This window comes from Homo sapiens, chromosome 22 (genome assembly GCF_000001405.40).
Source record: "Homo sapiens chromosome 22, GRCh38.p14 Primary Assembly".
In the NCBI taxonomy this organism is placed as follows: Eukaryota; Metazoa; Chordata; class Mammalia; order Primates; family Hominidae; genus Homo; species Homo sapiens.
The window spans coordinates 38,891,546-38,905,379 of record NC_000022.11 but is presented as its reverse complement, the minus strand read 5'-3'; the positions used below and the strand labels follow the sequence as shown (position 1 = coordinate 38,905,379).

The 13,834-nt window shown below is 37.3% G+C and overlaps 1 long non-coding RNA gene across 1 annotated transcript in view, besides 3 other annotated features; it reads right to left on the bottom strand.

Annotated features, from left to right (window-relative positions):
• Positions 1-13,834, bottom strand: part of LOC105373032 (uncharacterized) — a 40,173-nt gene that overhangs the window by 21,080 nt on the left and 5,259 nt on the right. The gene's annotated exons all lie outside the window — the stretch shown is intronic.
• Positions 1,829-1,998: an enhancer, noted in NCBI's record as "experimental_63367 CRE fragment used in MPRA reporter constructs". NCBI's record gives its function as "activates a minimal promoter by MPRAs in K562 erythroleukemia cells, with activity observed for both the introgressed and non-introgressed 22:39299472 or rs2205966 variant alleles {active_cell/tissue: K562}" and the evidence as "EXISTENCE:reporter gene assay evidence [ECO:0000049][PMID:34662402]".
• Position 1,913: a transcriptional cis regulatory region, noted in NCBI's record as "Neanderthal adaptively introgressed variant 22:39299472 (GRCh37/hg19 assembly coordinates) or rs2205966 in the experimental_63367 CRE". NCBI's record gives its function as "modulates activity of the experimental_63367 enhancer by MPRAs in K562 erythroleukemia cells {active_cell/tissue: K562}" and the evidence as "EXISTENCE:reporter gene assay evidence [ECO:0000049][PMID:34662402]".
• Positions 10,806-10,975: an enhancer, noted in NCBI's record as "experimental_63315 CRE fragment used in MPRA reporter constructs". NCBI's record gives its function as "activates a minimal promoter by MPRAs in K562 erythroleukemia cells, with activity observed for both the introgressed and non-introgressed 22:39290495 variant alleles {active_cell/tissue: K562}" and the evidence as "EXISTENCE:reporter gene assay evidence [ECO:0000049][PMID:34662402]".

Here is a 13,834-nt window from a genome sequence, read left to right as displayed (position 1 = left end):
CCCGGGAGGCGGAACTTGCAGTGAGCTGAGATCGTGCCACTGCACTCCAGCCTGGGTGACAGAGCGAGACTCCATCTCAAAAAAAAAAAAAAAAAAAAAAAAAAGACAGCATAGGAATTACCTCCATAAAATGTAGAATCTTGTTTCTTGAGCCAGTTGCCAAAAAGGCAAAGAAAAACTTTCTGCGGTGTGACTGCTTCTCCTTATGGGAAGCCCACTTAGATAACCTGGAAGTCAAACTTGATGAAAAAAAGTGCTTTAATTTAATTAGACACAGAAAGAGTATGTTCAAGATCATGAGTATAACAGGGGAATACATGACTCTTAGTAACTGCATGAGAAGTTTCCTGATTAACTGAAAATTTAGACATATCAAGAAAAGCCAAGACAACAGAATCAAGTTATACTGGAGGAAACCACTGCTTTTACAGACTTCTAAGATAAAACATTTCAGCATCTGGCCACAACAGTTAGATCCAGAGGGGAAAAAATTATAGAAGTTGATGGACAAAGTTGAAGGAGAGTTATCATCTCAGGCCTTTTCAAAGGGAGAAAAAGCTGAATGCAGTGAGATACAACAAAAGCTGAACTTTTAAGATATTAATCTAAGAAGTTTTCAAAAGAAACAGTTTATAGAATTAAAAAGCAAATCTTCTTGTAATTTTAATAAGAGCAAATCAATAGCTTAAGAAAGCCCCATTTTAACATAGGGGACTGTTCTTTAGAAATACTATCATAAATAATTCCCTTTTAATCATAGCTAACTTAACCACAAGACAAAATTCCTTTTATAGGCCTGGCGTGGTGGCTCATGCCTGTAATCCCAGCACTTTGAGAGGTCGAGGCAGGCAGATCACCTGAGGTCAACAGTTTGAGACCAGCCTGGCCAACATGGCGAAACCCCGACTCTACTGAAAATACAAAAATTAGCTGGGTGTGGTGGTGCACACCCTTAATCCCAACTACTTAGGAGGCTAAGGCAGGAGAATCATTTGAACCTGGAAGGCAGAGGTTGCAGTGAGCCAAGATCACTCCACTGCACACTAGCCTGGGAGACAGAGCAGACTCCATCTCAAAAAAAAAAACAACCCACAAAATTCCTTTTATAAATTCCCCTTCATGAACATTTTGCAACTTATACAGACCGTCTATGACATGCTTGGAATTTCTGACTTGTCCTATACTTCTCTCTTTCCTAAATAATCATTTTTCTTTAGGACAAAAATTTACCATATGAGGCTATATTTTTATACAAAATCATTTTCTTTTCTTTATAACCTTTCTTACCAAAAACACATCTTCATAACCACAACTTTCTTAACATCTCTCTCCTACTTACTGGTCCTTTCTACCTTCTTTTAGAAGTTACTTTTAAATAACCCCCAAATTACATAAAAGTATTGTGTTAGTTTTCAATAACACAACTTACACGATTATATATTAATTAGAATTTTTATTCTTGGTAACCTTAAATTTTAGTAAAAACCTATGAAGCAAGAAATCCTGAACTGTTTGTTAGATATTAGCATTTTGTAGATGAAACAACTACTCCATAATATTATAAACCATTCCATAATATTACGTTTTCCCATATTATAACATTATAACATGTTTTCACACATTATTTTTTTCTTAATTGGAAATGACCCAGACATCCAAAAAAGCATCTATTATTTAATTCAAAATAATGTCAAGATTTTAAATTATACAAGAAGTCCACTTACAAGCATTTATCTCATTTACATGTACTCAATTTTTTCCATTTTTAACAGTTTATCTAGATTACTTCTGAAAACTGAGATGTTACACAAATCTAGTCATTATTTAAATTTATTTCAGCCTCAGCAACATGGAGAAACTTCATCTCTACAAAAAAATACAAAAATTAGCTGGTACCACGTGGTGGTACACAGCCATAGTTCAGCTTCTTGGGAGACTGAGGTGGGAGGATCACTTAAGCCTGGGAAGAGGAGGTTGCAGTGAGGCAAGTTTGCACCATTGTACTCCAGCCTGGACAACACAGCAAGACCCTGTCTCAAAAAATAAATAAATAAATAAATAAATAAATAAATAAGTTATTTATTTATTAACCATTTTAAAAGTCTGAATAGCAGGTGAACACCCAAGAACCTTAAACGTAAACACATTTTGCCAATAACTCAGAAGATTCAGCTGTTTTAATTAAACCAACAATCTAGTCTTTTTGTCAAAAAAAAATTACACAAAGATAATTTTGGTTTTGTTTGGGTTTATAGTCCTATAACCTTTATGTGAAACTCTGACACCTTAACATGTAGACAGAGACAAATATAAAACCATTTGGTTAAAAAACTCAGACAAAAATGTATTCTGACAATTTTGAAGACATTTCTATCAATAATTTTAGTTTTATTTACCAAAGATTCATGTGAATTTGAAAAGCATCTGGACTTATTTAATTTATGAGTACTCATTTACTTATAATCCAATTTGGTAGCATGCTAGACACAATATACAACATAATACATGTATGTACACACAAGCATATCTAAACATGTATACCTACATGCACAAAGATCCAATAGCTTTTACTTTGGAACTCCAGCCATAAGATAGCAGTACAGACTCACCACTTTATAAAAGATAGCTGGATCCAAATTATTTTTCTGATGAAATTGGAACCTGTTCACATGGCTAAGGAAAGCTGTTTGCCCCAATTTAAGGAAATCTGTGAACCAAAATTTGGGTAAAGTAGTTTCTATGGCAGTTTGGTTTTGAAAACCTTTTTACTCTTCTTTTTTCTGCAGTTTCAAGTGAGTTTCTAGTGTTTCCATTTTAGCTAGAACTGGCTGAAATGTATAAGAAAAACAAAATCTCCAAGTAATGTGGAAACAGTAAGTTTTATCTCAACACCAGTAGCTGAATAACAGCAGATTCAAAGAAGGCAGAAAAGAAAAGAGAGGTAGAGAGCCTTAGAAGACTCTGCTTAACTGTAGAGTTGCAGGTTAACCATTTGACCTCTGAATTTCCCTTACTGTAATTTGCCCATCAGCTTAAAATGTGCACAAAAGTTGGCCATAATATGTAACCAGGTGGAGTCTCAGATTGTCTAGAAAAGAGAGTTGACTTGCTTTCTCCCCCCACAAACCTTGACATGGATTCAGGAAATACTCTGGAGGTCTCAGAGAGGATGACAAAATTAGAGGCTAGGATATTGGAAACTTTCTCCCCTGCAGAGGAGAGAAGCAGCCTATCTTGATGCTTTCTGACCTAGTCTTGGCGGGTGGGATGGAGACTAGTCCAAAGCACCCTTGGAGAAAGGGGTAACACTAAACAGAGACACAAACACAGACAGATCCCATGCAGACAGAGCACTCCATACCAATCCCCAAAGAGGAGAGACTGGAGAAAAGTCCTGAGATCTTGTGTCAAACCCAGAGGGCACCACAGAGTGACCTGTGTTAGGTGCAGATAGCATGGAGGCTCAGATGGCACCAAGATGACCTATGCTAGGTCCAGGTGGCTGGACAGCCCAGATGGCAGAGACAGACAACTCCAGGTGCACTCTGGTTGACTTACCCAGTCCTGAAGGCCATCAACTTACTGAATGCTGCTTTCCTTACACCATCAGAGCATGATAGCACCTGATGCCATGAAAAGGAGGCAAAGGAAAATACCCCAAACAAAGGCAGTCTCTGCATCTGTTGGGAATTCCCAAGGCCCCAGTCGCAGGGTCCACTGGCCACAAGTAGCTAGCATAGCTAGCATTTGCAAATGGCCCTGCCCTGCCTGGTACCATCAGTGGGTAAGCCTTGGTCCACTGCCTGGCCAACTGCTCCACTCGCTGGAAACCAGGCCTACAGGCTGAGCTGCTCAGAACACACACCTCCTCACTCAGGCACCAAGTCTGTAACCAGCTCAAGTTCAGCTGCTCACCGCTCAGCAGTCAAAGCATGAGAAGCTTGGTATGTGGTGAAAGGAAAGCAGCTTCTATTGGTCAAATGCTAGCAGATGGGACCATGGCTGGGCTCAAGCTTCAAAGGGAAACGTCTCTGCCTTCTGGGCTGAGTGAAGGGATTTAAGAAGGAAAAAGGTGTAGAAAATATGCGGGCATGGTGCAGGAGAATGCAGGTCTGCATGTCTTGTTCTATAGCTATCTCAAGTAATCACCCATCTGGAGGTCTGGTTTGTGTCATCCTGTCTTCAGCCCAGTGGTGGTGGACTAACTTCCTAACTTCCCTTGAGCGGGAGGATTCAACAGCTGGGTCTCTCTGCCTGGCTTGTTGCAAAACTGCCCCCTGAAATTTCTAAGCAAGCACATAATCGGATAAGTCAGCACTGTGCACGGGAGCACCTGGTGGGAAAAAGAGAAAGAATTTCAAAGTATGTTTCAAGGCTGAAAGCAAGAAAGGAAAAAAAAGTTTTAAAATGCATTTCGAGGCTGGGATACTCGGTTACACTACTCCTTGGCTGATACTGCAGCTGGGATGATCGGTTTACCTCAGAGATACAGGAAAGGAAGAGAGAAGTTTGTGGTCTCAGGTCACATGCCACTATTGTGGTCAGGCCATTAAAATAGTAGTGAAGGAAATTAAAGATGCTAAATTTATAAATGCAACTTAAAGATTAAAGTGGTTGTAAATGGAACCAAGCATGTGCTCTTCTTAGAATAATACAAAGTGTAAAATGAACTTGAAATCTCAAAAATAACTAGGATTTTGAGTTTATACATTTAATAAAGAGAATATCACATTTAAAAAATAAAAGGTCTGAAACGACAGCATTTCACTTGTCTACTAAAAGTGGAATATCTGAAAAATCAAAAATTAATCAAAATGAACATTTTTTTTCCTCGGGTTAAACTCAGAATATTGCAGCCAAAAATAGAGGTAAATTGTTCATATTTCCAATAAAGAATCCTACTCTACTAGATGACACTAAATAGATAGCTGAAATTTAAGTGTGTTTGCTTAGAAGCAACTCTGATTTCAGATTATTTTATGGATAGAAAACTTTTCCTCAAGGAAAGAGCTTGGTGTATTAAATTTAAAAGATAATCTCAAGATCTCAGGTATGACTCTGTAAAGCATGTATAAATTTTGTTGTTTTTCTAAATTTTTTTCAAATTTGAGAGATGGTATGTGTTCTAAATTACAGTTATAGGGAATGTATAATGAAAGCCAACATTTTAAATTTAATCTGAATTTTAAAGCTTAGTAATTTTGTTAGTTTCCGTAAGGTTAAGTGCAATTACTACAAAATACAAAATTGGGAATTGGAGGTATAGCACAGCCTGCTTCCATGCAAAAACCTGAATTTTTGCACTAAAACTAAATAGGCAAAACCTTCTGCAAATATATGATCATAGAACCACAATTGAAGTATACTACAATGGAAATGTGATACAATTATAAAGCCTACTGTCTTTTAGAAATCGGTTGTAGCGGAAATTATGTAAATCTAGGCCAGGTACAGTGGCTCACACCTGTAATTCTAGCACTTTGGGAGGCTGAGGCAAGACTCCTGCTTGACTCCGGTAGTTCAAGACCAGCCTAGACAACATGGCAAAACTCCGTCTCCACAAAAAATAAAAATAAAAAAAAATTAGTCATGTGTGGTGGTGCACACATCTGTAGTCCTAGCTACTCGGGAGTCTGAGCTGGGAGGATGCTTAAACCTGGGACGCAGAGATTGCAGTGAGCCAAGGTCAAGCCACTGCACTCCAGCCTGGGCAACAGAGCGAGACTCTATCTCAAAAAAATAAATAAATAAATAAATAAATAAATAAATAAATAAAAGAAAAGAAAATTATGTAAATCTATAAAAAAAATTCCACTTGAACTTTTGGGGTAAAGAACCAAAGGTACAATAGCTTCTTTCAATAATTATTTATTATTTTTAGTTTTTTAAATAAGTATAATATGGGCATATTTCATAATTGCTTTGAGAAATTTGAATTTTAAACATGAATCAGTAGGCATTTGGTTTTATCAAAAGCTCCTTAATAAATTAGAAGTTTTACATTAGGATTACCTGCAATTAAAATATAAACACAAACACATATGGAGTGAAGCATGCATTTTCACCCATAAATTAGAAGATTTTAGGGCAAACCTAAATATTTTCACATATTAACCATATGGCACTCCAAAATTTTAAGCAGTCTTTTTAAAATTCCTCTAAGTGGGCCCGATGGGGTGGTTCATGCCTGTAATCCCAGCACTTTAGGAGGCTGAGGTGGGAGAATCACTTGAGGTCAGGAGTTCGAGACCAACCTAGCCAACATGGTGAAACATCATCTCTACTAAAAATACAAAAAATAGCCGGGCTTGGTGGTGGGCACCTGTAATCCCAGCTACTTGAGAAGCTGAGGCAAGAGAATCGCTTGAACCTGGAAGGCAGAGGTTGCAGTGAGCTGAGATCACACCACCGCACTCCAGCCTGGGCGACAGAGTGAGACTCCATCTCAAAAAAGAAAATAATAATAATAATAATAACCTCTCCCTAAAACCTAGCCTGCAACATGATGAAACCCTATCTCTACTAAAATACAAAAATTATCTGGGCATGGTGGCGCATGCCTGTAATCCCAGCTACTTGGGAGGCTGAGGCAGAAGAATTGCTTGAACCCTGGAGGCGGAGGTTGCGGTGAGCAGAGATCGCGCCATTGCACTCCAGCCTGGGCAACAAGAGTGAAACTACATCTCAAAAAACAAATAAATAATTTTAAAATAAAATTCCTCTAAGTGGGCCAGGAGTTCGAGACTAATCTGGCCAACGTGGTGAAACCCCATCTCTACTAAAAATACAAAAAAAATTAGCCAGGTGTGGTGGTGCACACTTGTAATCCCAGCTACTCAGGAGCCTGAGGCACGAGAGTCACTTGAACCTGGGAAGTGGAGGTTGCAGTGAGCCAAGATGGTGCCACTGTGCTCCAGCCTGGGCAAGAGAGGGAAATTCTGTCTCAAAACAAAAAAACAAAAAAACAAAAAAAAAAAACTTCTAAGTGTATGTGGAGGGGGTTAGGTAAAGATTCAAGATGGTTTTGGATTTAATAATACTACTTGGGAGAATAATTTGGATTTATAGCCTAAAACCCTGATGTTATCATACAAAATCTGATATATCAAGTTGATAAAGAAGTGTTATATGTGATTAAAAAGAAAAATATGTGTCTCCAGAAAGGGAGCAATGCAAGGTGAGGACAAACCAAACCAAAAATCTATACAATGTGAAGAGGAAGGCAGTAAACAGGGTAAAGTAGGATGGAAAGGAGACTTCTGTGAAGACACCTTGTTTTACAGTTTTCACTTTAAAATAAAACAAATTTTACATAAATACAAAATAAAATGAAATCAAAATAGAAAAAAATCCCTAAAAATTGAAAACAAATTTAAACAAGCTAAACTAAAATACATCAAGTTAGTAGCATAGACACATTAAAAAATTATTTCATGTTACTTTAAAACACAGTATTTTAAGTGTACATTCCTAGTGGAAAATATTCTAAAGACAATAAGAACTACATAGAAATGTTGAACTATATTCAGGGTCTTATTGTTAGTAGCAATTTTGAAATTTTTAATTTTGGAATACCTATAGGTATATTATAGGATAAGCCAAATAATACATACGTTTGCTCATTAAAAAAACAAAAGTTTCAGTTGAGTGCATTGGTGCACACCTATAGACTGGGAGGCTGAGGCAGGAGGATCGCTTGAGCCCAGGAGTTTGAGGCTGTAGTGTGCTACAATTGTGCCTGTAAACAGCCATTGCACCCTAGCCTGGGCAACATAGACCCCATCTCTAAAAACAAAACAAAACAAAAACCAAGATTTTCAGTGAAAGAAAAAAATATACAAGTATTAAACCAAATATTTTGAGTTAAACTCTTGTAATCATAAATTTGAATTGGAAATATCAGTATGAACTCATAACTCTTTTCTTTTAGAATGCACTCATTTCCTAATATGTGCACTGAAAATCCTGGAAGGCATGAAAACACACTAGTAATGATCACTCCTCAGTCCCCAGATTGTGGTCTCTAAGTATCATTTTCCCCTAAAGGAACTAGCGTTTCTTAACATAACAGCTGGTTCCAGGTCTGGGGCAGGAATTGTAAAAATTGCCTAGAATACGTTGTGTTAGACAAAAAGGAAGCTATCACAGACTGCTGGGATCACGTCAAAGGACACAGAAGCCAACTTGAAGGGTTCTTTGTTGTTTGGGTTTTTTCTTTTTACTAAGATGGGTCGATTTAACAGTAACCAAATAGTGCATGAGGGAAATTTCTTTATAGAAGAATTTCAGCTACTAAATGCAGAAAAATGTTAGGAAATCACTATTTTACAATCCCTAATGAAACCATGGATGTAGCCAATGATCACCAATGAACAACCAATCCGTTAAGTGAAAGATGAATAGGGAACTTCATAAGGAAGAGATTAGGCTGATAGCACCTGAAACCATTTATGAAAATTATCATTTAAAAAATGGAGACAACCAGACCTTACATGCTTTATGATGTGATGAAACAGGAAGTAAGAGCATCACTTGTGAATGTTCCTTCCTAAGTAAATAAATCTGAACCTAATTTAGCTAGCTAGACATACATACTGGTTAATAGGAAATACAGGGGATAGAAGAAGAAGGCACCACAAGGAAGCAATCAGCTAAATCCAGAATGTAGGACATGCCTCTCCAAAATGACCAGATTTTTAATAAATTGGTGGCATGGAAATAAAACAAGGTTCCCTATAGAATAAAAGAGACAAGGAACAGCAATAAAATGCAATATGTGGCCTTTGTTTGAATCCTGATCTGAAAAAAAAACCTGAAAAGATGCTTTTGAAACAGAAAAATTTGTATATGAACTGAATATTGAATGATAGAAACAATGTAATTATTAGACAGTGGTTATATAAAAACAAAATGTCTGAGTTAAAGATGCATAATGAAGTATTTACAGGTGAAATGACATGATATCTGAGATCTACTTTAAAATAATATAGAAAACAAAAAAAGAAAAATAAGGAAATAGATGAAACAAAATTGGCAAAATATTGATAATTGTTGGAGACATAATTGGTACATGGGTGTTCACTATATATATTATATATGTATTATATATATGTATTATATATAATATTACATATAATTATATATATAATATATATCATATATTATATATATACACACATATGTTTTTTTGAGACAAAGTCTCACTCTGTCACCAGGCTGGAGTGCAGTGGTATGATCTTGGCTCACTGCAACCTCCGCCCCCTGGGTTCAAGCAATTCTACTGCCTCAGCCTCCCGAGTAGCTGGGATTACAGGCACGCGCCACCACACCCAGCTAATTTTTTAAATTTTTAGTAGAGACAGGGTTTCACCATGTTTGCCAGGATGGTCTCCATCTCTGGACCTTGTGATCCACCCACCTTGGCCTTCCAAAGTGCTGAGATTACAGGTGTGAGCCACTGCACCCATATCACTATATTGTTTTTTACTTGTGTATAGATGTGAAATTTTCCATAATATAAAGTTTGCAAAGGAAGCAAAATAAACGTAAAATTTCTGTTACAGGTAAGATAAAATAGAGAAAAGAGATTGGTTAACATTAGAATGTATATGATAGTCCAGATGCAGTGGCTCATGCCTTTAGTCCCAACACTTTGGGAGGCCAAGGCAGGAGGATCACTTGAGCCCAGGAGTTCAAGGCTGCAATGTATATGATAAATTGCAGGGTAGTCATTGAGAGAATAAAAACAGAATATAAAACTTCCAAACCAACAAAGTGGAAAAACAGAAATAAGAGAAAAATCTTCATCTATTCAAAACAGTCCAAAAAAGAGCAAGTTATAAACAACAGGAAAAAAAATAAATGAGACAATAAGATGTAGTCATAAATTCATATATAGGTAATCATAATAAATTTGAATTAATTAAACTTTCCTGTTAAAAGGCAAGGATTTAATGGCATGCTGCAAATGTGATGCTCAAAGGGAAATTTCTAACACTAAATGCCTACATCAAAAAAGAAAGATTTCAAATCAATAACCTAATTTTATACCTTAAGGAATTAGAAAAAGAAGAGCAAATTAAACAGAAAGCTAGCAGAAAGAAGGAAATAATAAAAATAAAAGATTAACATGGAGAAAAATGAGACAGAGAGTAGAAAAACAACAGAGAAAATCAACAAAATCAAAAGTTGATATTTGAAAAAAAAAATCAACAAAATTAACAAAGCTTTAGCTAGACTAAGGAAAAAAGAAAAAATGCCAAAAACTAAAACCGCAAATGAAAGCGGGGACACTACTACCAACCTTACGGAAATAAAAAGGATTATGGGAGAATAGTACACCAACAAATTAGGTAACCGAGATGAAATGTACAAATTCCTAGAAACACACAAATTACCAAAACTGGTTTGAAAAGAAATAAAAAATCTGCACATAAATCTTACAAGTAAAGAGATTGCACCTGTACTAAAATGCTTCCCAACAACAAAAGTCCAGGATCAGCCGGGCACAGTGGCTCATGCCTGTAATCCCAGCACTTTGGGAGGCCAAGTTGGGCAGATTGCCTGAGGTCAGGAGTTTGAGACCAACCCGGCCAACGTAGTGAAACCCCGTCTCAACTAAAAATACAAAAAATACCTGGGCGTGGTGGTGCATGCCTGTAGTCCCAGCTACTCGGGTGGCTGAGGCAGGAGAATTGCTTGAACCCGGGAGGCAGAAGTTGCAGTGATCTTGCACTCCAGCCTGGGCGACAAGAGAGAAACTTCGTCTCCAAAAAAAGAAGAAAAAAAAGCACATATACATCTTTCAGTATTCAGAGGGGGGAAGAAACAGAAGGCTTCAAGGCAAAAAATAAATAAATAAAATAACTTGAGATAAAGTAAGTCACAACATAATGATCAACAAATATTTTTCGAGTGCCTACTGCACACCAGGCACTGTTCCAGGCAGTTCCACAATGAGAGAGAGTAATCATATTATCTGGAAGTTATGGCAGTTTTGTGTCTTCTGTCCCAATGTTGTATCCTTCATTCATTTTTCCTGGCCCTACTATACTTTAATGTTTAATAGAATGGTGAGAGTAAGTTTCCTTGGCTTGTTACTGATCTTAACATTTTAATATTTACTAAAGTCTTCACTGTGGGGAATTTTTAAAAAAATACATCTTTTATGGCTGAGCGTGGTAGCTCATGCCTGTAATCGCAGCACTCTGGGAGGACAAGCAGGCGGATCACCAGAGGTCAGGAGTTCAAGACCAGCCTAGGCAACATGGTGAAACGCTGTCTCTATTAAAAATACAAAAGTTAGCTGGGCGTAGGGGCGCACGCCTGTAATTCCCAGCTACTCAGGAGGTTGAGGCAGGAGAATCGCTTGAACTCAGGAGGCAGAGGTTGCAGTGAGCCAAGATTGCACCACTGCACTCCAGCCTGGGTGACAGAGCGAGACTCCATCTCATAAAATAAACAAATAAATAACAAAAAGACATCCTGTATTAGTTTAAAAGCGTTTCTTTATATTCTTAATTTGTTTAGTTTTTTAATCATAAATAGAGGTTGAATTTCAGCAAACACCTGTTCTGCATTTATTGAAATGATCCTATGGTTTTTCTCCTTCTATCTGTTAATGTGAAAAATTACGTACTTACTTTTCTAATCTATTCTAGTGTACTCTAATCCAATTTGGTCATGATGTATTATCTTGGATTCAGTTTACTGATGTTTTGTTTATGGAAAAGATTGTTCTATATTTTCCTTCCTCAAACAGTCTTTGGTTGGGATAACAAGCAGATTAAGCCAACTTTGTAAAAATTATTAGCAAGTATTGGTAATTTTTCTACTTGCTGGAATAGTTTGTATTTGAAAGTATTCATTCCTTAAATGTTTGGTAAAACCCTTCTGTTTAAAAAAAAAAGTCTAGTCCTGCTGTTTCTTTGATATGAAGATTTTTAGTCACCAATTCAATTTTTTAAATGGTTAAAACATCGTTTACATTTAAAATGTCTTAAATGTAAAATTTGTGCAACTTGATTTACATTTTCAAAATTATTGGCATAAAGTTGCATCATATTTTTACATTTTTAAAATTGATTCTTCATCGAAGTCATGTTTCCTTTCTTTATTTTTATTTAATTTTTTTGAGACGGAGTTTTGCTCTTGTTGCCCTGGCTGGAGTACAATGGTGCAATCTCGGCTCACTGCAACCTCCGTCTCCCAGGTTCAAGCGATTCTCCTGCCTCAGCCTCCCAAGTACCTGGGATTACAGGCATGCACCACCACGCCCGGCTAATTTTGTATTTTTAGGAGAGACAGGGTTTCTCCATGTTGGTCAGGCTGGTCTTGAACTCTCGACCTCAGGTGATCTGCCTGCCTCGGCCTCCCAAAGTGTCGGGATTACGGGCGTGAGCCACGGCGCCCAGCCAATTTCCTTTCAATTCTGCTATACTTTATGGGTCCCATCTCTATTTCCTAATTAGTCTTGCCAAAGGTTTGCCAGTTTTATTAGTTTTTTCAAAAAAACAAAATTTGGCTTTGTTCGTCATGTCAATTTTATGATTGCTCTCTGTTTCATTTATTTCTGCTCTTACCTGTAAATTTTCTTTTTTCTACTGTTTAGGATTTACTCAGCTGTTCTCTTGGTAACTTCTCATGTTAAATGTTTGGCTTATTGATTTTCAGCCTTTTTCTCCTATATCATAAGCCTCTCATATGTTCTGATACGTGGAATTTTCATTATTGTTCGCTTCTAAGCATATTCTAAAACCTGTTATGCTTTCTTTTTTTACCCATGAATTATTTAAAGGTTTTTCCTATTTCTATGCTTTTTTGTTATTTATTTCTTATTGAAGTACATGGTGGTCAGAAAATATTGTTTGTTCAATCCATCCTTTTGGCATTAACAAAAGATTGCTTTTTGGCAAGATAAATGGTCAATTTTCATAAATATTCCAGACGTGCTTGAAAGTAATGTAATGTCTGCAGTTACTTGGTGAAATGTTCTGGAAATTCCCATTAAGTAAAATTTGTAATTCCATAATTCTCATCTCTCATCTTTTCTATGCTCACTGACTTTTGTTTTTTTCTGCTTTCTCCTTCTGAATTACTCAGTGAGGTATGTTAGACAAGACAGAACTATCCAAACTCACAGTAAGAAACCAATCAGTGAAATCTAGAAGGCAGAATATTCTATCGGACAGTAGCTTAATTCCTTCAATTCACGGTATGAAAATAGAGGCTGTTCTAAATTAAAAGAGATTTGTGGATGTAAGCAGATTGGGTCCTGAACCCTAACCTAGAAAAACCAGGTATAGAGGACATTTGGAGGAAAATTGGTTTGGGCTCTCTAAAGCCTAGGGTGCACCTTTGCCCAAGTCCGAGGACACCCAAATGTCCTCCCTTTGCAGATGGCCAGTGCTTTGGTCCTGCCAGAGGAGGGCTGACATCCCCATCCACCTGTTCCAATGATAATAAAAGCGCCATTGCCTGTGATAACAGATGTCAATCCCCAACACCCAGAAGATGTAAATGCTAGGCACTTGAAAATATCATTTTGAGTGACTTACCAGGGGACTTTAAAGGCAGACTGTGTGGCTAGTCTTGCTGGAAAGACACTCTGAAGTCTGTGATAATGGAGTAGCCTCTGCCCCATCCCCAACACCCGCTCCATGGCCCCATGGGTCTATCAACTCTACTACACAGCTAACCCCCATGAACAGGGACTGTGTCTCATTTCTCTGGGTCTCCCCAGCAACTAGCATGGCTTGTTGGATAAACAAGAATTAGCTGGCCATCGAGCCACCATCTCTGTCTTGGCACAACCTCCGTGTGTTCTGCTTGCAAA